General features: G+C 48.6%; 2 protein-coding genes across 16 annotated transcripts in view, besides 3 other annotated features; one reads left to right on the top strand and one right to left on the bottom strand.

The window, feature by feature from the left end:
* On the top strand, positions 54-4154 carry KRTCAP3 (keratinocyte associated protein 3). 4 transcript variants are annotated; one of them, NM_001168364.2, is made up of 7 exons: positions 54-113; positions 252-436; positions 515-574; positions 747-953; positions 1071-1205; positions 1622-1734; positions 3974-4154. In NM_001168364.2, the coding sequence occupies exons 1-6, from the start codon at positions 86-88 to the stop codon at positions 1727-1729; spliced, it is 723 nt and encodes a 240-aa protein (NP_001161836.1). In that variant the 5' UTR covers positions 54-85; the 3' UTR covers positions 1730-1734; positions 3974-4154. The 4 variants fall into 4 exon arrangements, with proteins under 4 accessions (NP_001161836.1, NP_776252.2, NP_001308254.1 ...); NM_173853.4 differs by lacking the exon at positions 3974-4154 and adding an exon at positions 1859-1970; NM_001321325.2 differs by lacking the exon at positions 3974-4154 and adding an exon at positions 1862-1970.
* Positions 189-731: an enhancer, noted in NCBI's record as "H3K27ac-H3K4me1 hESC enhancer chr2:27665383-27665925 (GRCh37/hg19 assembly coordinates)". NCBI's record gives its function as "activates a minimal SCP1, AML or CMV promoter by ChIP-STARR-seq in primed H9 embryonic stem cells {active_cell/tissue: H9 hESC(primed)}" and the evidence as "EXISTENCE:reporter gene assay evidence [ECO:0000049][PMID:30033119]".
* The window catches only part of IFT172 (intraflagellar transport 172), a 45367-nt gene continuing 25216 nt past the window's right edge, over positions 2050-22200 (bottom strand). For 7 of the 12 annotated variants that reach the window (NM_001410739.1, NM_015662.3, XM_006711986.4 and 4 more), the window contains 30 exons: positions 20770-20854; positions 20374-20466; positions 19432-19509; positions 18942-19190; positions 18688-18766; positions 17382-17502; positions 17051-17195; positions 16452-16541; positions 15799-15896; positions 15514-15649; positions 15312-15428; positions 14184-14326; positions 12240-12333; positions 12027-12091; positions 11655-11835; positions 11303-11412; positions 11057-11186; positions 7671-7769; positions 7364-7473; positions 7172-7235; positions 6967-7053; positions 6588-6704; positions 5485-5595; positions 5188-5307; positions 3933-4028; positions 3602-3661; positions 3418-3516; positions 2969-3122; positions 2687-2778; positions 2050-2194 (listed from right to left, as the gene is read on the bottom strand). In NM_001410739.1, the coding sequence (NP_001397668.1) occupies positions 2105-2194; positions 2687-2778; positions 2969-3122; positions 3418-3516; positions 3602-3661; positions 3933-4028; positions 5188-5307; positions 5485-5595; positions 6588-6704; positions 6967-7053; positions 7172-7235; positions 7364-7473; positions 7671-7769; positions 11057-11186; positions 11303-11412; positions 11655-11835; positions 12027-12091; positions 12240-12333; positions 14184-14326; positions 15312-15428; positions 15514-15649; positions 15799-15896; positions 16452-16541; positions 17051-17195; positions 17382-17502; positions 18688-18766; positions 18942-19190; positions 19432-19509; positions 20374-20466; positions 20770-20854 (3313 nt within the window). In that variant the 3' untranslated portion in view covers positions 2050-2104. Of the gene's footprint in view, positions 2195-2686; positions 2779-2968; positions 3123-3417; positions 3517-3601; positions 3662-3932; positions 4029-5187; positions 5308-5484; positions 5596-6587; positions 6705-6966; positions 7054-7171; positions 7236-7363; positions 7474-7670; positions 7770-10809; positions 10944-11056; positions 11187-11302; positions 11413-11654; positions 11836-12026; positions 12092-12239; positions 12334-14183; positions 14327-15311; positions 15429-15513; positions 15650-15798; positions 15897-16451; positions 16542-17050; positions 17196-17381; positions 17503-18687; positions 18767-18941; positions 19191-19431; positions 19510-20373; positions 20467-20769; positions 20855-20941; positions 21199-22200 lie in introns of those variants that run through there. The other 5 variants (XM_047443900.1, XM_006711987.2, XM_047443903.1 and 2 more) reach the window with 3 other exon arrangements.
* Positions 10863-12062: an enhancer, noted in NCBI's record as "BRD4-independent group 4 enhancer chr2:27676057-27677256 (GRCh37/hg19 assembly coordinates)". NCBI's record gives its function as "activates an origin of replication core promoter dependent on BRD2, P300/CBP, MED14 and CDK7 cofactors, and independent of BRD4, by STARR-seq in HCT116 cells {active_cell/tissue: HCT116}" and the evidence as "EXISTENCE:reporter gene assay evidence [ECO:0000049][PMID:35650434]".
* Positions 16492-17691: an enhancer, noted in NCBI's record as "CDK7 strongly-dependent group 2 enhancer chr2:27681686-27682885 (GRCh37/hg19 assembly coordinates)". NCBI's record gives its function as "activates an origin of replication core promoter dependent on BRD2, BRD4, P300/CBP, MED14 and CDK7 cofactors, with strong dependence on CDK7, by STARR-seq in HCT116 cells {active_cell/tissue: HCT116}" and the evidence as "EXISTENCE:reporter gene assay evidence [ECO:0000049][PMID:35650434]".

Raw genomic sequence — 22200 nt, forward strand, 5'->3', positions numbered from 1 at the left:
GGGGGACCCGGGACGGAGGCGGGGCCCAGGTTGGGGCGGGGCCGGGCCCAGGTACAGCGGCCCTGCGGCTGGCGCGGCGGACGGGATGAGGCGCTGCAGTCTCTGCGCTTTCGGTAACTTCCGGGCCCTGGCGTCTCGTCTCCTTACCCTGGGGCTACCCTTGCCCCGTCCTACTGCCCGCGGTTAACCCGCCGCGAGCCGCCTCTCCCCTCCCCGCCCGACTCAACCCTGCCCTCCCCCGTGCTTTGCAGACGCCGCCCGGGGGCCCAGGCGGCTGATGCGTGTGGGCCTCGCGCTGATCTTGGTGGGCCACGTGAACCTGCTGCTGGGGGCCGTGCTGCATGGCACCGTCCTGCGGCACGTGGCCAATCCCCGCGGCGCTGTCACGCCGGAGTACACCGTAGCCAATGTCATCTCTGTCGGCTCGGGGCTGCTGGTGAGCGCGGCAGGCGACCCGGGCGGGGGCCGGGCTCCCGGAGAGCCCAGCAGGCCAAAGGCTTTGTGTCTTCCACAGAGCGTTTCCGTGGGACTTGTGGCCCTCCTGGCGTCCAGGAACCTTCTTCGCCCTCCACTGGTGAGAGGGACTTCCCTGGAGCTTTTAACGAGTAGGCTTGAGTCAGGGAAATGGGGGCTGACTGAGCTTGGTCTTTCAATAGATTGGAGGAGCCTCAGAGAAACTGGGTGTCTAGTCACTGGGAGAGTTAGCCAGGCCCAGGCTGCTCACCCTGATCTCCTGTCCCTGCCAGCACTGGGTCCTGCTGGCACTAGCTCTGGTGAACCTGCTCTTGTCCGTTGCCTGCTCCCTGGGCCTCCTTCTTGCTGTGTCACTCACTGTGGCCAACGGTGGCCGCCGCCTTATTGCTGACTGCCACCCAGGACTGCTGGATCCTCTGGTACCACTGGATGAGGGGCCGGGACATACTGACTGCCCCTTTGACCCCACAAGAATCTATGTGAGCACATTCTCTTCCTTCTTGTGGTCTACAAAGCCTTGGTCCTGCCCTTTTAATTTCCCCTATTTGCTGCACTTGCCCTACTCCCTCCTACTCCCCATCCTTCTTGCTTTTCAGGATACAGCCTTGGCTCTCTGGATCCCTTCTTTGCTCATGTCTGCAGGGGAGGCTGCTCTATCTGGTTACTGCTGTGTGGCTGCACTCACTCTACGTGGAGTTGGGCCCTGCAGGAAGGACGGACTTCAGGGGCAGGTAAGGAAGGCAAACAGGAAGGGTTCATTCCACAGAGACTGGCTGTGTTGAAAAGATGCTGACCGGCCGGGTGCGGAGGCTCACACCTGTAATCCCAGCACTTTGGGAGGCTGAGGCAGGCGGATCACTTGAGGTCAGGAGTTTGAGACCAGCTTGGACAACATGGTGAAACCTCGTCTCTACTAAAAATACAAAAAATTAGGTGGGGTGGTGGGCGCCTGTAATCCCAGCTACTTGGAAGGCTGAGGCAGGAGAATCGCTTGAACCCGGAAGGCGGAGGTTGCAGTGAACCGAGATCACGCCACTGCACTCCAGCCTGGGCAACAGAGTGAGGCTCCGTCACAAAAAACAAAACAAAAAAAAGATGCTGACCTATCATTCAGGGCGAGGGTGTCTAACTCTATCTTCTTCTGCAGCTAGAGGAAATGACAGAGCTTGAATCTCCTAAATGTAAAAGGCAGGAAAATGAGCAGCTACTGGATCAAAATCAAGAAATCCGGGCATCACAGAGAAGTTGGGTTTAGGACAGGTAATGGGCCTTGAAGGTGGTGGCCCGGGTAAGAGCGGGGACAAGGAAGTGCTCTTAGAACTGGGTCTAGGTCTTGCCATGCTGCTTTCCCCTCTGACCTGGGTTGGTTCTCCCCTCTGTCCAGCAGGTGCTGTTCCGAGACTCAGTCCTAAAGGGTTTTTTTTCCCACTAAGCAAGGGGCCCTGACCTCGGGATGAGATAACAAATTGTAATAAAGTAACTTCTCTTTTCTTCTACTTGATTATGATTCCTTTTGGGGAAAAGGCACTGTGTGGTGTTGGGAATGACTTTGATCAAAGAATACAGTGGTCTCAATTATTTATAAAACTTTAATGAGGGAGAGGCCCTAACTCTTCCTCAGCTCTACCAACTACTGAAAGGAAAAGCTGGTGCTGGGGAGCCCTCCACACCACTGACTGATGAATTTCAGCACGTCCTGGCACACTGGGCTGTGGGAGGTCTGTGAGCAAATGGAAGAACATGAGAGGAACTTGTTAATGCTGGAAATACAAAATCAGCTCCATCGCAGGCTTCAGGGTCTGCATCTGCCTTCCTGTAATCCCACCCATCTTTCTAGTGTGTATGTGGGTTTTTTGTTTGTTTTGAGACAAAGTCTTGCTTTGTCGCCCAGGCTGGAGTGCAGTGGCACAATCTCAGCTCACTGCAACCTCTGCCTCTCGGGTTTAAGCGATTCTCCTGCCTCAGCCTCCTGAGTAGCTGGGATTACAGGTGCACGCCACCAGACCCGGCTAACTTTTGTATTTTTAGTAGAGACGAGGTTTTAACCATGTTGGCCAGGCTGGTCTCAAACTCCTGACCTCAGGTGATCCGCCCACCTTGGCCTCCCAAAGTGCTGGGATTAAAGGTATGAGCCACTGCACCCAGACTTGTTTTTTTTTCTTTTTTTAGTGCTGCCCTCTCTGCCTTCATTCTCCAAGTCCTCCTCTCTAACCTTGATGGCCATAAGGAATTTATTCCAGTTGTCCTTGTTAGCAGCCTTCCCTGGCCGCTTAAATTCAATTTTGTTCCTCAGAATGGGGTATCCTGTGGAGGAAGAAAAAATGATGAACTGGGGTTTGAGAGAGATTGAGGAGGGAAAAATGAGGAGCAGCCTGGGGGGTAGAAAGCACAGTCCTGTCTTTTGTACCCTTTACTGAATCCTAGTAAAATTAAGTTTATTGATCCTGCTGCTTTCTACCCACCACAGGATCTGGGGTGCTGTAGGCTTCTATACCTGTAATAAGGCAGGGCAGGGCTCGAACACCAGTGCTCGCTGCCACTAGGGAGGCCTCGTAGGCGCCACGCTCATCCCGAGGCAGAACCTGCTCCAGCCGCTGGTCCATGGAGACTGTAAGCACCCAGTCTCGAACCTCTTCTCTCTCAGCCTCCTGGAAAGGACAAGAAGGGAGTGGTAGCTTCACACAGGGCAGGGCAGGACAAGTTGGGGTGGATGGGTGAGGAGGGGGTTTGCTAAGCCCTCATCCTGTATACCAGCTTTTAGCCACGAATCCTCCTTGGATTGGGGGATGCAGTCACAGCCTTTTCTTTCTATTTTGCTTCTACTTTCACTGAAAAAACAGTGAGGGCTGAGGTCCTTCCAAAGATGGCAGCACAAAGATATTCTCCCTCCTCAAGGCACTCACACTGGTGAGGCCTTCCGGTTTTCCAACCCTGTGCCCTTACCGGTACATGCTGCTTAGCTGGGAGTGGCACCTCAAAGGGAATGTCTGTATCCTGAAAATCAGAGTGGTCAAGGCCATCTAGAGTCCCTTCCTCGATTGCCTGCAGTAGAGTGGGCAACCATGAACTAGGCACAGCTCGCGACTGGCAAAAACCTCCACCCTCGGGGCACAGCTTCCCTACTCACATCGGTCAGGTCCAAAAAGCGATTGAGGAAGATGAATGCCATGTTATCCCAGCCAACTGCCTGCAGCAAAGAAGAGTTGCAAATGGGAGTGAACAAGCTGGGTTTGAATGCTACTTCTCTGGGATCCAGATGCAAATGGGAGTGAGCAAGCTGGGCTTGAATGCTATTTCTCTGGGATCCAGGGAGAAAAATCCAGGAAGACATAGGAGGACTACATCCTCCGTAACATCAGCCCTACACTCAGCTTTCCTCTACCAGAGCAGAAGGGATATTCTATTTTCCAACCTTTAACTTCCTCCTATCTGCCCCACCCTTCCTTGTCCCAGCTCACCTTGGCAGCAATGCCTGCTTCATAGAAGGCTTTGTCTACAGGTAGTAGCTGGGTGTGACGCAAGAGTGAAACAGAAAGCCTGGCAGCCACGGTTTCCTGGGATTAAAGTCAAAGCATTATGAATATGGCACTAAAGTGACTGAGCTACCAGACCAATGATCCTGTAAGGCAGCCACAGAACTAAAAAACAACAATTATTATTAAACTGCTCTGGATTCTCAAGCTGTTCTGGGTCTTAGTTTTTTTTTTCTTTTTCTCTGAACAAGACACCTGGGCCTAGGTTCAATTCTTTCGCCCAGGCTGGAGTGCAGTGGTGCCATCTCAGCTCACTGCAACCTCTGCCTCCCGGATTCAAGTAATTCTCGTGCCTCAGCCTCCTGAGTAGCTAGGACTACAAGCGCACATTACCATGCCTGGCTAATTTTTTTTTTTTTTTTTTTTTTTTTTTTTTGAGACGGAGTCTCGCTCTGTCGCCCAGGCCAGACTGCGGACTGCAGTGGCGCAATCTCGGCTCACTGCAAGCTCCGCTTCCCGGGTTCACGCCATTCTCCTGCCTCAGCCTCCCGAGTAGCTGGGACTACAGGCGCCCGCCACCGTGCCTGGCTAATTTTTTGTATTTTTAGTAGAGACGGGGTTTCACCTTGTTAGCCAGGATGGTCTCGATCTCCTGACCTCATGATCCACCCGCCTCGGCCTCCCAAAGTGCTGGGATTACAGGCGTGAGCCACCGCGCCCGGCCAACCTGGCTAATTTTTATGTTTTTAGTAGAGATGGGGTTTCACCACGTTGGCCAGGCTGGTCTCGAACTCCTGGCCTCAAGTGATCCACCCGCCTCGGCCTCCCAAAGTGCTGGGATTACAGGGGTGAGCCACCACACCCACCCACCTAGATTGTTTCTAAGGTTCTTTCCACTTCTAGAATTCTATCATCCAAGTACATGAAATAAATATACAGTGAACAGTCAAAAATAAGCCCAGAATATGTGTACATTATAAGAGGTGAATAAAGAAATCATGGGATTTGGATGTTTAAACATAATGAGGCTGAGGCTGTGTGGGCACAGAGCCCTAAAAAGGTCGGAAGAAGAAAACCTCAGCAAGGGCTAAAGATTTGTTTAGACAGAAGAGAAGCTGAAAGACAGGTGGGGAGATTCAAGAGCCCAAGCTGAAGAATCCAGAACGTGAATCAATTCAGCTTTATACATTTGCAGATGAGCCCTTCTGACTGAGTGTTCCTTCGACCCCCTACATCTCACCAGCTGTTTGACACTCTGGGCTGCAGAGCGCGTGGCATAGTAATGAGCGATCAGCAGCATCGTCTTGAACTCCTCATGGGCTGGAGAGTTTGCCTCACTGGACTTCACCAGGTTTTCACACTAGAGGAGGGAGACAGCACAGCCTGGCTCAGGGGTCAGAGGAGTGCCAGGGCCATAGAGTGGTCTCTGATAGCCACCTGGCAGAGGAAGGTAAAATACATCTGAGAATAAAGGTTTATGTGCATCAAAGAAGAGATGAGGACAAGGACAGACGGAGCAGCCCTTTCGCTTCCTCACCAGGTTGAAGAGGACATCTCGAAGATCAGCCCAGCTATGATAGGCCTCGGCACAGTTGGTTCCAGGAGAGCTCACCATGTCAGTGAAGATCCTTTTGTAGATATTGAAGTTCTAGAGGTAGAGGGAAGAAGGGGATCTGAGAAGGGCATAGCTAGAAGAGAAAGTCACTGGAAGTGGGGCCAAAGGGAGGAGAAACAGGCTTTGTGTGTAGAAATGGGTATGTGTGTGTGTGCAAGGGCTGGGGGACAGTGGCAGATTTTTATTTTTATTTATTTTTATTTTTTTAATTTTATTTATTTATTTTTGAGACAGAGTCTTGCTCTGTTGCCCAAGGCTGGAGTGCAGTAGCATGATCTCGGCTCACTGCAAGCTCTGCCTCCCAGGTTCATGCCATTCTCCTGCCTCAGCCTCCCGAGTAGCTGGGACTATAGGTGCCTGCCACCACGCCCAGCTAACTTTTTATATTTTTAGTAGAGACGGGGTTTCACCGTGTTAGCCACAATGGTCTCGATCTCCTGACCTCGTAATCCGCCTGCCTCGGCCTCCCAAAGTGTTGGGATTACAGGCGTGAGCCACTGCGCCCGGCCAACAGTGGCAGATTATTAAGTGCTGATTATTTTTAATGAAGTAAATTATTTTTAAGTGCTGATTATTTTTGATAAAGAGAAAAGAGGAAGAAATAACTTTCTTAGCTGGTGCTGTGTGAGTGTGGGCAACTGTACAAATGTAAATGCAGAGTCACAACATTGTGACTCAGATCAGGGAGCAGTGTTCATTCTCTGGAGGAAGTCAATAAAGGCCCTAGAGGTGTATGCAGGATTCATCTCTGAAAGACAGGTGCCTGTGTATTTGCTAACAGCATGGGGAGCTCCACGGGTGTTTCTTCAAACAGAAGTTGGAAGTTTCTGCAAACCTCCCCATGCTCTTAGCAAATACACAGCCTCCAGAGAGGCTGTACATTTCTGGAGATGCGTGGGGGGCTCTGGGCATGACGTTCTCTAAGGATAGAATCCTCTGAGAAGATAGTTCCTGAGAAGATAGGTGGTTCTAGAGGAGAAAGAGCTTTCTTGTGGAAACATTCAACCCAAGGAGAAGGCTGGTACCTGTGGGTTAGCAGGGGCTCCGTGCTGTACATACAGGGCCAATGCCTGGGCAGAGCTACCCTCCCGGATCAAGTGAGTTGCATACAAAGCCACATACTTGTGCAGAATCTTGTAGTTCTGTACAGGGGTGGAGGAAAAGCATGAGTGAGGCTGGGATCGGCAAGACCAAGCAGTGAGGTGACTTGAGGCCATGTATTTGTTGAGGGGAAAAAGGGTGTACGCAAACCTCTGACCCCAGTTTCAGACTGAGCTTCTCTGATGCCCATTAGAAATCTTTGGGCTTTGGGTTTTTGTGGAGGTAGAAGAGATGCATCTTTGAGGCAGGTGGGGAATCAAGGGAAAATGTAAAGAAAAACTGGGAATGGGAAGAGAGCAGTACCTGCTTGGTAGCTGTTTCAATGCACTTGTCCCACTGGCCCTGCTCCACATACAGGTCCAAAGCAGCTATCACATCCACACCCACCAGCTGGGTCAATGGAAGACAGAGTTACAAGAGAAAAGAGATGACATGAGGGAAAGAAGAGGGAGAGAGTCTTGTGAGTCTCTCCCTGCATTCTGCCTCCTGCTAACTCTCCAAGTCTCACCGAGTCCACTTTGCCCTGATTCTTGAGGAACTCTTTATAATGCTGGTCCACATAGTCTTCATACCTGTGAAGATGTTCAGAGAGCTCCATCTTCATGTTCCAGAATACCAACCCTCCCGGTAAGACTTTCTCCCAGTCTTTACAAAAGGAAGTAAAAGAGAATTTCGCAGTAAGAAGGGGTTACAAGCTTACCTGGGATCTAACTCCTTAGCTACACGCTTCGCCTTGTTCCACTCCTCACCCTCGATGAAAGCATCGATTGCTTCCTTGACAAGGTCCAGATTCAGATAGAGCTCTGCAGCCTGCACAGTGGGAAATCAGCGTGGAGACTTTCTCCTCGCTCCCAGTCTTCCCACTGTGAGCTCTCCCATCTGTTTCCCCAGGACTGCAAGCCATGCCCACCAGGAGGCCCACCTCACACACCTTCCTGGGTGTAGATGTCACCCTTGCACCCATCTCTGTGAAATCTATTTCTGTTCCATCTCAGCATCCTACTTACTGCACTGTGCTTTCCAATTCCAATCAGCTGGGGTCCTACAGCCAGAACGACTTCCATATTACGTTGGGGAGGCAGAAACTTGATGGAGAGTTCAGCTGCCTGAGTGGTTGAACAGAAGATGGAAATGGGTAGGAGAGACAAATACCGCTGAGTCCTCAGCCTCATCCATTTCATACATTTTTCTCCTCCAGATGCCAACTTTTTCTCTTACTCTCCCCTTCAACCTTGCACCCTCCTGGGCAAAACCTGGCTCATGGTCCATTAGATCCTTTGATTAGCCATCAGTGGACCTATCTTTCCTCTCAGTTCATTAACTCTTTCAGATACTTCCTGCGCTGCCTGAGGTCACTGCATTTGAAACTTCCGCCTTTGACAAAATCATTTTCAAGGTCTTTGTCATAAGTAAAATCTTCGTAGCAGAGTACAGAGAAAGGACTCCTAAAATAAGGAGTCCAGGGCATTCTGTAACTATTTGTGTTGGGCTTTTATGAACTTGTTTCTTCATTCACACACACTGGATTTTGAAGATTTAGTATAAAAAAAGAATGGAAAATATCTAAATAATGTGTGTGAGTACATGTTGAAATGGTAGTATTTTATTTAATTTTTTTAAGACAGAGTCTTGCTATGTCGCCCAGGCTGGAGTGCAGTGGCACAATATCAGCTCACTGCAACCTCTCCCTCCCAGGTTCAAGCAATTCTCTTGTCTTGGCCTCCTGAGTAGCTGGGATTACAGGCACCCACCACCATGCCCAGCTAATTTTTGTATTTTTAGTAGAGATGGGGTTTCACCATGTTGGCCAGGCTGGTCTCAAACTCCTGATCCTCAAGTGATCTGCCCACCGTGGCCTCCCAAAGTTCTGGGATTACAGGCATGTACCACTGCGCCCAGATGAAATGGTGTATTTTAGATATACTGTGTTAAATAAAATATATTACAATTATTTTTACCTGTTTTTTTTTTTTTTTACTCTTTTTAAATGTGGCTACTAGAAAATTTAAATGACATGTATGGCTTACATTTGTGGCCTGCATTATATTTCTAGTGCCAGTGCTGGTATAGATGGTCTTGATGATAACCTTTCAACACTTAAAACTCAGAAATTCTACAAACCCAAGTGTTCAATGAGATCACTCTGTTTCCATTATGATGCTGACATCCTTACCAGATTTCAATTTCCACACAATCCAATTTCACTGTAGTTTATGCTAATCCCCTCTGGTCTTTCCCTCACCTGTTCTTGCCTCCCTTTCTTACTGCCAAGCCCTTCAAAGCTTAATCTGCCCTGTCTGCATCAGGAAGCCATTTTCTGACTAATCTGAAAAAGGTACAGTCATGCCATGCTCCCAAGTTACATATATCAGATGCTTATTCAATACTGCTGATTAAAATCTGCTAGAACCTCAAAACCAATCATCAGCCCCTCTCTTTCTACTTCTCTCCCTCTAACTTCTAGGGGTTATTGAGTTTTAAGACCTCAAAAGGCCAGGCACGGTGGCTCACGCCTGTAATCCCAGCACTTTGGGAGGCCAAGGCTTGTGGATCATGAGGTCAGGAGATGGAGACCATCCTGGCTAACACGGTGAAACCCCGTCTCTACTAAAAAAATACAAAAAAATTAGCCCGGCATGATGGTGGGCACCTGTAGTCCCAGCTACTCAGGAGGCTGTGGCAGGAGAATGGCCTAAACCCAGGAGGCGGAGCTTGCAGTGAGCCGAGATTGCACCACTGCACTCCAGCCTGGGCGACAGAGCAAGACTCCGTCTCAAAAAACAAACAAACAAAATAAACAAACAAACAAAAAAACCTCAAAACCTAAGGGAAATTTTGCAGGGGCATCACCATACGAATATGTCATTTAGAGGGCCAATCTCACCCCCCTCATGACCCCCACTCACATTTCACTGTATCTAAGGTGCGTCATTTAAACTATACCTGCATCCCAATTTTAAATATATTAAAATATAATTATATATATGTATGTGTGTGTGTATATATATATATATATATGTTATTGTTAACTTTATGTATCAATTTGGGCTACAGGGTATCCGGGTATTTGGTCAAACATTATTCTGGGTGTTTCTATAAGTGTTTTTGGATGAGGTTAACATTTAAATTGGTAGACTGAGTAAAGCAAATTGCCCTCTCTACTGTGGATAGACCTCATCCAATCATTTCAAGGCATGAACAGAACATAAAGGCTGGCTCCTTCCCAAGTTAGAGAGAATTCTTCCTGTTTGACTGCCTTTAAACTGGGACACTGGCTTTTTCCTGCCTTCAGATTTGAACTGAAACATCAGCTCTTCTTGGGTCTCAAGCTTGCTGGCCTTCAAACAAGAACTACACCATCAGTTCTCCTGGGTTTTCAGTTTGCCAGCTCACCTGCAGATCTTGGGCCTTGTCTATCTCCATAACTGCATGAGCCAATTCCTTTTAATAAATCTCTTTATATACATGTACACACATATACCTACAGTCATGCATTGTCTAATGATCAGTATGTTCTGAGAAATGTGTCCTTAGGGGATTTCATCATTATGTAAGCATCATAGCACAAACCTAGATGGTATAGTCTACTATACACCTAGGTAGAGGTTGCGTAGAGCTTATTGCTCCTAGGCCACAAACCTGTACAGCACATTTCTGTACTGACTACCTATAGGCAACCATAACACAATGGTAAGCATTTGTGTATTGAAACCTATTTAAGGCCAGGCGTGGGATCACCTCAAGGGATCCACCCACCTCAGCTTCCCAAAGTGCTAGAATTATAGGCGTGAGCCACCATGCCCACCCATGTGGTCTACTGTTGACCAAAACGTTGTTATATGGCATATGACTGTATATATCCTGTTGGTTTCTCCAATACAGTATGTCTTATTATTTGTGACACATACTGGCCTGGCTTAATTTGCTGGAAGCTTCTTTTCAGGAAATGTTGGGTGGGGGAGGTGGAGCCCATGCTTTTTTCATGTTCCCTGTCTGGCCAGTTCCTGTGCCTGGAGTTGCCCTTCCAGCTCCTGTCCAAGTCTTCCCTCCTTCTTCACAGAGCCTTCCTGACCCCTCTAGCCCACAGAGATCTCACTGTTCTCTGAACTCTACTTTAAATCATGCACTTTAGTCTTTACTCAGATATGATAGTAATTGAGCCATTTATTGGTCTAATTCCCCTAACTTTTGGCTGTCAGGGCTCTGTCTTATATCCACTTTTATAGCCTTCAGAGGTTCTGGCTCTATCATCCAGCAGGCACTCCATAGATTCCTGCTACCTGATTGAAAAGAAAAAGACACAAGAGGAAAGAGCTGAAGATGTGAGAAGCAGAGCCAAGTGTGAATAGAGGCCTAGGGAGAAGGAGGGCCAGAAAGGGCCTGCTGTCCTCACCTTCATCCAGCACTTCTCCGCCAGGCCGCTGTTTCCAGAGTCTCGCACTTTGAGGTAGCAGTCCACGGCACGGCTGTACTCTCCAGCCTGCTCCCAGTGTCGAGCTTGTTCCACAAATCCCTCCACACCCCTGTGGAGATGAGAGCGCTGGGACTTGGCATGGTAGGGGGGCAGCATGCTCTATCCTGTGTATGCCTCATGACCCTCCCAGCCCTGCCAATGCTGCCTGGACCTCTGGCCTCATACCTGGCCCCCTTCTTAGTAGCTTCCCGCTCATATTCTTCCTGCAGAGCCTCCAGCTGGCTGGGCACATAGTCCTTGCAGATGCGCAGAGCGTCACTCCATAATCCAGCCTCCTGCTCAGATTTCCAGGTATCAAGAGGGCAGAGGCAGGCCTGACAGCTTCCCACTGCCACACAGGTACTCTGGCCCACAGACTCCTGGGTCCTTGGACCTCTCTTCTCCTCCTCTTTCCTGTCTTCCCCACTCCCCAATACTAACCTCCCTGATCTTTCTTCATACCAGGGGTCAGTGTGGCTCTCTGTGGGCTCTTACAAACTCTCCCCCTCCCCTCATGGCCCTGCATCCAGTGCCCCACCTTATAATAATTGAGGGCCAGGCCTGGTCTCTGGGCCCGGAGCAGCAGCCCTTCTGCTTTCTGAAAGTCCTTCTCCTCCAAGGCCCCCCGGGCCTGTCCCACAAGCACCTCGGCGACACTGTCAGGGTCGTGAGCCTCAGCCACACGCTGAGCTGCCTCCCAATCCTGGTTATGGACAAACCTGCCTCCAGGTGGGGACAGAGGAGAGACTGAGTATAGGACTGAGGCCCCAATAGTGGGAGACAAACAGCCATGTCACTGAGGGGTGTAACACTGATTTGTTCTAGGTTTGAATGAAGGTCAAGATAATCATGAAAGATCCTGGGACGGTGACTGGGGAAACAGTATTAAGGAATGTATGGGGTAACTCACATGAGGACTGCCTCCTTGGGTTTACCAGCTCTGATGAATTCAGCTTCAGCCTCTTCGAATTTACCCTACAGGGAGAGAAAGGCAGCCGTGCATGATGAGAAGGAGACTGGCATCACAGGCAGGCATGAGACTGGGGGTCTGCACACCCAGCAGCAGTGCACTAGGGGATGGAATAAGAGGGCTCTGCGGTCGGGGTCCAAATCACACCCATACCTCATCCTCCAGGAACATAGCATATTTGAGATGAACCTCGGGGGTTTTGTGCTTGAGGGCCAGCCGAGAGAGTTCAAACGCAAATTCAAAGGAGCTGAAACAGAAAGTGCAGATAAAGTTTTCTTGCTTCATGCTTCCCTTCATAAAAGGAACAAGACAAAACAGAGAAAGGACAGAGTTGAGGGGAGAAAAAGTGACAGATTTAAGGATAACAAATATGAAGTGACAGAAAAGCGTGGAGAGATAAAAAGGAAGACGGGCAGGCAGCCCTGTGAAGACCATGTCACTGTCAGCGTGGATCAAGAGACGTCTGGAAAAGCCTATGCCTTCCCTGAGGCCAGCTGCTCCTGAGGAATTAGTTTGGGCCTGCGAAGGGGAAGGGAGGAGTGAGCCTCGCAGCCCTACACTGACAGGGCTAGGAGGGCTCCTGGTGCTCTCCATCTCTTCCTGAGCCCCAGCTACATTAGCAGAAACAGAGTCTCTCCAAAAAATGAGCAAGACCACCCTCAGCATCGGACTCCATGATTGGCACTGATAACAGTAGCTTGAGAACACTTTGCTCTTTTGGCTATCTTTCTGCACCGCCGCAATAGTGCGCATGAATGTCCTGGCTGATGTGCTCAAGAGCATCAACAATGCCAGAAAGAGAGGCAAACGGCAGGTCCTTATTAGGCTGTGCTCCAAAGTCATCGTCTGGTTTCTAATTGTGATGCTGAAGTATGGTAAATTGGCGATTTTGAAATAATTGATGATCACAGCTAGGAAAATTGCTGTGAACCTCACAGGCAGGCTAAACAAGTGTAGAGTGATCAGCCCCAGATTTGATGTGCAAATCAGAGATCTAGAAAAATGGCAGAATATGCCGGGCGCGGTGGCTCACGCCTGTAATCCCAGCACTTTGGGAGGCCAAGGCAGGTGGATCACAAGGTCAGAAGATTGAGACCAGCCTGGCTAACAGGGTGAAACCCTGTCTCTACTAAAAAAGTACAAAAAAATTAGCCGGGCGTGGTGGCGGGCACCTGTAGTCCCAGCTACTCAGGAGGCTGAGGCAGGAGAATGGCTTGAACCTGGGAGGCGGAGCTTGCAGTGAGCCAAGGTTGCACCACTGCACTCCAGCCTGGGCAACAGAGCGAGACTCTGTCTCAGAAAAAAAACAAAAAAGAAAAATGGCAGAATAATCTGCTCCCATCCTGCCAGTTTGGTTTTATTGTACTGACAACCTCAGTTGGCATCATGGACCATGAAGAAGCAAGACAGCAACATATAGGAGGGAAAATCCTGGGATTCTTTTTCTAGAGATGTAATACATATTTACAAATAAAATGCTTCACGGACTCTGGTGCTTCCAAAAAAAAAGAAAAGTTCGGCCAGGCGCAGTGGCTCACGCCTGTAATCTCAGCACTTTGGGAGGCCAAGGTGGGCAGATCACGAGGTCAAGAGATCAAGACCATCCTGGCCAACATGGTGAAACCCCATCCCTACTAAAAATACAAAAATTAGATGGGCGTGGTGGTGCATGCCTGTAGTCCCAGCTACTCGGGAGGCTGAGGCAGGAGAATCATTTGAACCAGGAGGTGGAGGTTGCAGTGAGCTGATATCGTGCCACTGCACTCCAGCCTGGCGACGGAGTGAGACTCTGTCTCAAAAAAAAAAACAGTTCACTCTGCATTTGACAGAATCACACTTCCATTACCCAGGAGTAAGTTATTGGTTTAGTGCAGTCTGCAGTCCTAGCTTTACAATCTGTTTCCTCTCCACCCTTCTTAGAACAGCCAAAGGTTAAACACTGTTCTGAGCCCCTAGGGAATAGAAGCAGTTAATTTATTCATGCCACTCTATCATGTCCTTCCAAGGATCTTTCTTTCAGTTATACATCAATTTTCTTTCTCTAGATAGTGGCTCTGGCTGGGATGGGGCCCGTGGAGAGAAAGCTTGGGGCCTCACCAATTGTCTGCAGCGTGGTCAACAGCAGCTTCCAGGAGTCCCAGCTTATTAAGCAGTCTAACTGCAGCCTCTCCTCCCAGGCTCTTTGCCCACAGATAGGCCACGTGTTTGTGGGCATTAGCCCCTCCTTGAGTTCTGGCCACCTGTAAAGCAAAGTCACTCAATAATCCTGCAATACAGAGCTTCTCCCTTCTCATCTCTGACCTCGGCTTTGACAAGGATCCAGTAACTGTTCTAAATTGAACAGGAAGAGGCTGGGTGTGGTGGCTCATACCTATAATCCCAGCATTTTGGGAGGCCGAGGCAAGAGGATAACTTGAGGTCAGGAGTTCGAGACCAGCCTGGCCAACATAGTGAAACCCCATCTCTACTAAAAATACAAAAATTAGCTGGGCACGGTGGTGAGTGCCTGTAATCCCAGCTACTCGGGAGGCTGAGGCAGAAAAATTGCTTGAACCCGGGAGGTGGAGGTTGCAGTGAGCCAAGACTGTGCCACTGCACTTCAGCCTGGGTGACAGAGCGAAACTCCATCTCAAAAAATAAAATAAAATAAAAAGTTAACAGGAAGAGGGCTAAATTTCAGGGTTTCTTAACTTAGGTTAAAGTACTTAGGGTCCAAGGATAGGCTTCACCTGGTCCACAGACCCTTAAAATTATAAGTGAAATTTTCTGTATACAGATGTGGACATGGTTCTGGCAAGAGAGACTCTGATCTTCACTACATTTTCAAAGATGCTCTGACCAATTGTGAATTAGTCACTTAAAGTGGGAAAGAAGGGCTGGGCAAGGTGGCTCATAGCTGTAATCCCAACACTTTGGGAGGCCAAGGCAGGTGGATCGCTTGAGCCCAGGAGTTCAAGACCAGCTTGGGCAACATGGTGAAAACTTGTCTCTACAAAAAAATTAAAAAATTAGCCAGCTGTGGTGGTGCACACCTATAGTCCCAGCTACTCAGGAGGTTGAGGTGGGAGGATCGAGTGCTTAAGCCCAGGAGGTCAAGGCTGCAGTGAGCCATAATTGCACCACTGCACTCCAGCCTGGGTGACAGAGTGAGACCCTTTCTGAAAAAAAGGAAAAACGTGGGAAAGAAGGATGGATGTATCCCTCAGTGTGGCCTGAACTCCTTACCCTGTAGGCCTCTTCCCAAAGCCCACTGGCCCGGTACATGTTCACTGTTGCCTTCCATTCCTGGGCCTCGAGGTAGTGGTACTCAGCCTCCTGTAGTCGGCCTTCAGCCTCCAGCTCCTGCAGGAAGGTGAGTCAGGATGGAGAGATGGGGAGATGGAGCCTGGTTGGGGAAGAGATAGGGAGAGCCAGGAGAAGGGCTCACCTTGCCCAGATGTAGGTGTGTATCACTGAGGAGATCTGGATGGTGCTTCCCTACCAGGCGGATCATGTCATCATACAACTTGTGCTTTTTGTACATGGTGATGGCAAGATCAGGCTCTTGTACTGTCACATATAGCCTGGGGAAGGAGATACATCTGGGGCCTCCTAGACCCGACCCCTGCTATCACTGCCTTCTGGGCAGAGGGTACACATCCTCAGACCCCATCCCTCGTCCCAGCCTTGAAATCTCATCTCCCTCTACACCTCCTCTGGGGCCACGGCTCACCTTTCAGCCTCACGGTACTTGCCCTGCTTCTCCATTTCCTGGGCCTGAGTGATGTATAGCACTGACACATCTTCTGGTCTCATGCATTTCATCGCCAGCTGTGGAGGCACAGAGGCAAGGCAGCCTCAGATCCAATTCCCCAGGGAAGCAGGGCTTCAAGGAAACCTGCTTGTTCAGAAACTCTGAACTCTCCCAACAATCACAGGAGTTTGGGTATTGCCACTCTACTAGTGAGGTTGGGGAATTCCAAGTCCATAAGAAGCAGAGGAAGAACTATATTCTGCTAAGGTGGGAAGGTCTGCGATGCCTTGGCTGGGGCATACACTCCCATTACCACGGTAACCACTGGACTCTGAAGTGTAGGCGCAAGAACAAAGTCATCAATGTGACCAGAGGCATTAGGAGTGGTAGTTCAGATTCCCCAGCTCCCAAGCCCATCTGCTCCTTCAGAATGATAGATAGGTCTGGAAACAAGGGCCTCTCTTCATCCCTTCCTTTCCCTATGGCTAGGGATCAAAGTGGCTCAGACTGTTTTTTGGTACTCTTTGTCAGCTTTCAGGGAGCCAAGCGAAGAGGAGAAACAGGTATCAAGGAATGAGGCCACAATGCCACTAAGGCAGAGTTCTCTTATCATGAACTCCACCCATCCCTACCTTGTGGGCTTGTTCCCAACGACCAGCCTGGGTGTACATGTCTATGGCATCTTTTGTCCGATCTCCCTTAGTATAGAGCTCCTCAGCAATCTGTAGTTGATGGGAGGTAGATACAAAAGGTCAGAGCAACAGACTTAAAGCAGCTTGAATGAGGAAAGAACAAACCTTGGCTGGGATGGTGGAGAGCCTGCGATACAACCTTGTAATAATAGAGAAGAAAAGATGAGTATGGGTGTCTCATACATTCTACCATTTAAAAAGAAAGACCAGCCCCAAACAGTGGAATCCAAAAGGGCCTCACATTTCTGCAATGCAAAGCAATTTTATATCATAACTATGTTAGCATTATTCATGAAGAATCACGCTGACTGGAACACAGCTAGAGACTCACTTTATATATCTGGGGTGAAGGGCGATATCTGTGTCACACTGGAATGAAAATGGGAAAGTAAACTGTTCTCTTCCCCTTCAAGGTGATGATGCTGTTTGGAGCCCAGAAAGAAGGATCTGGTGAACTTGCCTCCACTTCCTGCTTTGGGTTCTCTCATTGTTATCCTCTACTGCATTGCCTCGTGCTGCGGAAAGGGACTCTTCCTCACCTCATACTCCTGCAGGGATGCATAGTGTTGGGCCACGAGAGGATAGTATTTGGATGCAGTGTTCCGGTCCTGTAGATCTAATATATAAATTGCCTTCTTCCACTGGCGGGCACCCAGGGCGGCCTCAATTGCCTTAATGGAGCACCTGGCAAAGTTGGGAAAGATATAAATATGTAGGATGAAAGATGAAGATGAATGGAGGTAAAAGGACCCTTTAAGCACACTTCAACCTACATTTTGAGATCTCTTCTTTAAGGCCTTGGTGTCCTTACTTGCTCCACTGCCCCTCACTTCACACCTAAATCTCCTTTACATTCCCATACTCCCATACCTGGCTTCGATGTAGTGATTAATGGCTGCATCAAGCTGCTTCTGCTGCACCAGGTGGTCCCCCCATGCCTCCTCTAGTTTCACCACCTCCACTGGGAAGGCCAATCGAGCCAGCTCTACCGCTGCCAGGGAGAGAAAAGATGCTCAGCCCAGATTTCCAGGGATGGGCCTCAGGAAAAAGGTAGGACAGGGAGATGAAGCATGGAGAATAGGTAAGAAGGGGAGGAATGGAGGACTGGAGCCAGGCATCCTGAACACACGCACCAAGAGGTGTGGGGAAAAGCAAGAGAGATCAGATTGTTACTGTGTCTGTGTAGAAAGAAGTAGACATAGGAGACTCCATTTTGTTATGTACTAAGAAAAATTCTTCTGCCTTGAGATTCTGTTAATCTATAACCTTACCCCCAACCCCGTGCTCTCTGAAACATGTGCTGTGTCCACTCAGAGTTGAATGGATTAAGGGCGGTGCAAGATGTGCTTTGTTAAACAGATGCTTGAAGGCAGCATGCTCCTTAAGAGTCATCACCACTCCCTAATCTCAAGTACCCAGGGACACAAAAACTGCGGAAGGCCGCAGGTACCTCTGCCTAGGAAAGCCAGGTATTGTCCAAGGTTTCTCCCCATGTGATAGTCTGAAATATGGCCTCGTGGGAAGGGAAAGACCTGACCGTCCCCCAGCCCGACACCCGTAAAGGGTCTGTGCTGAGGAGGATTAGTAAAAGAGGAAGGAATGCCTCTTGCAGTTGAGACAAGAGGAAGGCATCTGTCTCCTGCCCGTCCCTGGGCAATGGAATGTCTCGGTATAAAACCCGATTGTATGCTCCATCTACTGAGATAGGGAAAAACCGCCTTAGGGCTGGAGGTGGGACCTGCGGGCAGCAATACTGCTTTGTAAAGCATTGAGATGTTTATGTGTATGCATATCTAAAAGCACAGCACTTAATCCTTTACATTGTCTATGATGCAAAGACCTTTGTTCACGTGTTTGTCTGCTGACCCTCTCCCCACAATTGTCTTGTGACCCTGACACATCCCCCTCTTTGAGAAACACCCACAGATGATCAATAAATACTAAGGGAACTCAGAGGCTGGCGGGATCCTCCATATGCTGAACGCTGGTTCCCCGGGTCCCCTTATTTCTTTCTCTATACTTTGTCTCTGTGTCTTTTTCTTTTCCAAATCTCTCGTCCCACCTTACGAGAAACACCCACAGGTGTGTAGGGGCAACCCACCCCTACAAGAGGTGCCAGGGAACCAGATGGGCAAGAGTCCACAACAGTAAAGGATGGCTTATAGGTGGCTAGTACCTTTCATGAATGCGTTGCCTTTACGGTAGCACTCCAGGGCCTTCTGTGGATTGTGAATCTTCTCAAAGAGATCACCTGCCTGTTAACACATACCACATTACTATGATACCCCTACAACACAAAGAACTAAGTATTAGCTCCGAAAACAAGGGAACACCAGCAGTCAGGAAGCGCTCTGCACCCCAAGACTCCTCTGGGTAAGGGAAGGGTCCTGAGCTCTGGAGATAAGGGCTAGGAAAAGGAAGCCAGCATACCCTTTCGTAGAGTTCCCCCTTGATAAGGGCTGCAGTGATGTGTTCTACCAGCTCTGTGTTGGCTAGCAGTTCCTCTCGGGTCAGCACCAGCCGAGCAGCTTTGGCAGGGAGCCCAGCTTTGAGGTAGAGGCTGATGGCTGCTAGCCCATCCCCTTGGCTCTCCTGTAGTTCACCTGCTCGCTCCTCTTGCTGTGTGTCCATCAGCCACTGGTAGTAACTACGACGTAGCTTCTCCAGGGCTGGGTGCCCCTGGACATGCACAGAGGACAACTAGGAGTCACATCCCCCTTCCTACCCTTCTGCCTCCCATGCTTCTCCAATCCCTCTATAACAAGGGGAATCCTCCTGGGTCAGCAGTATCCTAACTCCTCACCACATCAAGTCCAAGCCCCAACCCTGTTCTGGTTTCTATGGCCTCCTTGACAAAAGGAGGTTTTTGAAATTGGCAGAACCAAATTCTGAACAACTGTGGAGAAGATAAAACAGGTACCTTGGCTTCAGCCACAGCGATACACTCATCCCAACGGTGTAGCTCCTGGTACATGCCCATGGCCTCCTCCACAGCATTCTAGGGGAAACAGGCAGAGCAGAGAGGGACACCAGAAAGATATGAGGATCAGAAAGCAGCAAGCTCTCCTCAGCCTGGCTAAGATGCCAGCCCATGAGGACCAAAAGCCTTTTAACTACTATACCAACAGAAATACTGGGAAACTAAAAGAAGCTTAAGCTTCAGGGCTCCTTATTTGCACACACCCTTTCCAAGGCAACTGTTCTTTTTCTTGAGATGGAGTCTCACTCTGTTGCCGAGGCTGAAGTGCAGTTGTGTGATCTCGGGCTCACTGCAACCTCTGCTTCCTTGGCTCAAGCGATTCTCCCACCTCAGCCTCCCGAGTAGCTGGGATTACAGGCGTGTGCCACCACTCCTGGCTAATTTTTTGTATTTTTAGTAGAGATGGGGTTTCACCATGTGGCCAGGCTGGTCTTGAACTCCTGACCTCATGTGATCCACCTGCCTCAGCCTCCCAGCGTGCTGGGATTACTGGTGTGAGCCACCACGCCTGGCCTAAGGCAACTGTTCTTAAAGAGAGCTCCTCAAATTGTATAAGCTTCCGGCCCACAAAACCTGGATCTACCCCTATGCACAAGAATTGCAAAGACAGGCTCTGGACTGGAGGGGAGGTAGTAGACTGCTTATGAAAGAAAGTAGTAATCAAAGGCCAAAGAAGGAAGTTTGTCTAGAAAAGTAAGGACTGACACAAGAGAAGGAAATTAAGAAAAGGGTGAAATTAACTATATAAACCCCTTTGAAAGTTTTCCCCAAACCTTTGGAAGCCTAGTTCACCAGCACGCTTTCCTCCCTTGAGTTTGTACCCCCTTTTCTCTCTTTTTCCCTCATATCCCCTCTTCCATCCTGTCCCTCTTTTCCTATTACCTGTTCCAAAAAGATCATTTCAGCCAGTTTGTAGTTCTTTTCCAGCATGGCTAGACGTGCTCGGACCTGATAAAAGTCTGTTCCTTCTCCGCCCTGTGGGGGAAAAAGGAGGTTCTGATTTTTCTGTAGGTGCTGCCATTCTGTCTGTGAGGGCTGAAATTGGAAGGCCAGAAGGATGTAGAAAACAAAAGACTTGGGAAGGTAAAACACTTCATGGAGCTTAAAGGTTTGAGGTTTAGCAAAAGCAATTCTGAAATGGTCTGACTTGAGGGTAAAGGTGGGGTGGGCAGGGTAAAGGAAACTGGGGATGGCTGGAAAGCTAGGAATCATGGGGCTGAATACTAAGAGAAATCAGCTTGGGAGACAGACAGAATGAATCAGGAGCATAATACTTGCATATTCCCGGGATACTTGATCTGCAATCTCATTGGTCTCATGCAGGAATCGAGCTTTTGCTACTTGGCCCAAAGCAGAAAAGCACCTATGGCATGGAAGCAATAACATTAATAGTAATATTATTATAGAATCATCATTAATTCATTGGTTCAGCAAATACAAATTGATGTACATCTATGATGTGCCAGCCAATGTCTTGTCACTGGAGACATATAGAGACCAAGGAAGATGAGGGCCTTGCTCTCAGAGAACTTCCATTCTGGTGGAGACAAATAATTAGTAAAATTGGAGATAATAAAAAATAAAATAAAGTAATGTAATATTACAGATCAAGCTTGTTCAACCCATGGCCCAAGATGGCTTTGAATGTGGCCCAACACAAATTCATAAACTTTCTTAAAACATTATGAGATTTTTTTGTGATTCTTTTCTCTTTTTTTTTTTTTTTTTTTAAGCTCATCAGCTATCATTAGTGTTAGTATATTTTATGTGTGGCCCAAGATAATTCTTCTTCCGATGTGGCTCAGGGAAGCCAAAGATTGGATACCCCTGTTATAGATAGTGACTGAAGGGGCCACTTAAGTTGGTAGTTGGAGGTCTCTCTGATGAACTGACATTTGAGCTGAGACCTGAATACAAGAAAAAGCCAGTCATGGCAGGATGGGGAAAAGTTATTCCTGGAGAGCGAACAGCTAGTGTTAAGGCTCTATAGCAGGTATGAGCTTGGCACACTCACAGAGCCAAAAGGATGCCAGTGTGGTTGGAGACTAATGGGCAAGCAGGAAGCTGGCATGAGAAGGAAGCAGAGGCCAAAAAACTTCAGGGCTAAGGCCACACAAGGAGTTTGGGTTTTATACTAAGTAAAACAGTAAGCTAATGGAAGGTTCCAGTCATGAAAATGACACAATCTATGTTTAAAAAAATGACCTCAGCTGCTCTGGGATGAATAGATGGTAGGGGTACAAGAAACAGTATCAGTGCGACTAATTAAGAGGCTGTGCAATATTGCAGGTGGGAGACGGCAGTGGTCTGCACAAGGATGGAGACATCAGGATGTGTTTTGAAGACAGAGTCCTTAGGACTTACTGATAATCTACATGTGGGAAGTCTGGAGAAAATGGGATCAAGGATGATTCCTAGCCAAAATGGCAGCAGGTGACATTTATCGAGCACTTTGCACAGATTCTCTCATCACTCCTTCATTACCAATATCCTTACCATCTTCTTTATCATCATATGAGGCAAATACTATTATTAACCCTATTCTACACAGAGAAAATCAAGAAGCCAAGGTTTGGGAAGGTCAAATAACCTCTCTATGGTTATATAAGTTGGTAATTGGAACCAAGATTTGAATTCAAGGAGTCTGGAGTCCCAAGTTTGTCCTGTGAACTGCACTCCTATACCAAACCTGGATTATACACATATGCA

Source organism: Homo sapiens, chromosome 2 (genome assembly GCF_000001405.40).
Source record: "Homo sapiens chromosome 2, GRCh38.p14 Primary Assembly".
NCBI lineage: Eukaryota > Metazoa > Chordata > Mammalia > Primates > Hominidae > Homo > Homo sapiens.

Coding starts and splice junctions, on each gene's coding strand:
- KRTCAP3 (NM_001168364.2), top strand. CDS start 86: ATGAGGCGCTGCAGTCTCTGCGCTTTCG. Junction 954..1,070: donor TTGACCCCACAAGAATCTAT/GTGAGCACATTC, acceptor CTTGCTTTTCAG/GATACAGCCTTGGCTCTCTG. Junction 1,206..1,621: donor AGGACGGACTTCAGGGGCAG/GTAAGGAAGGCA, acceptor CTTCTTCTGCAG/CTAGAGGAAATGACAGAGCT.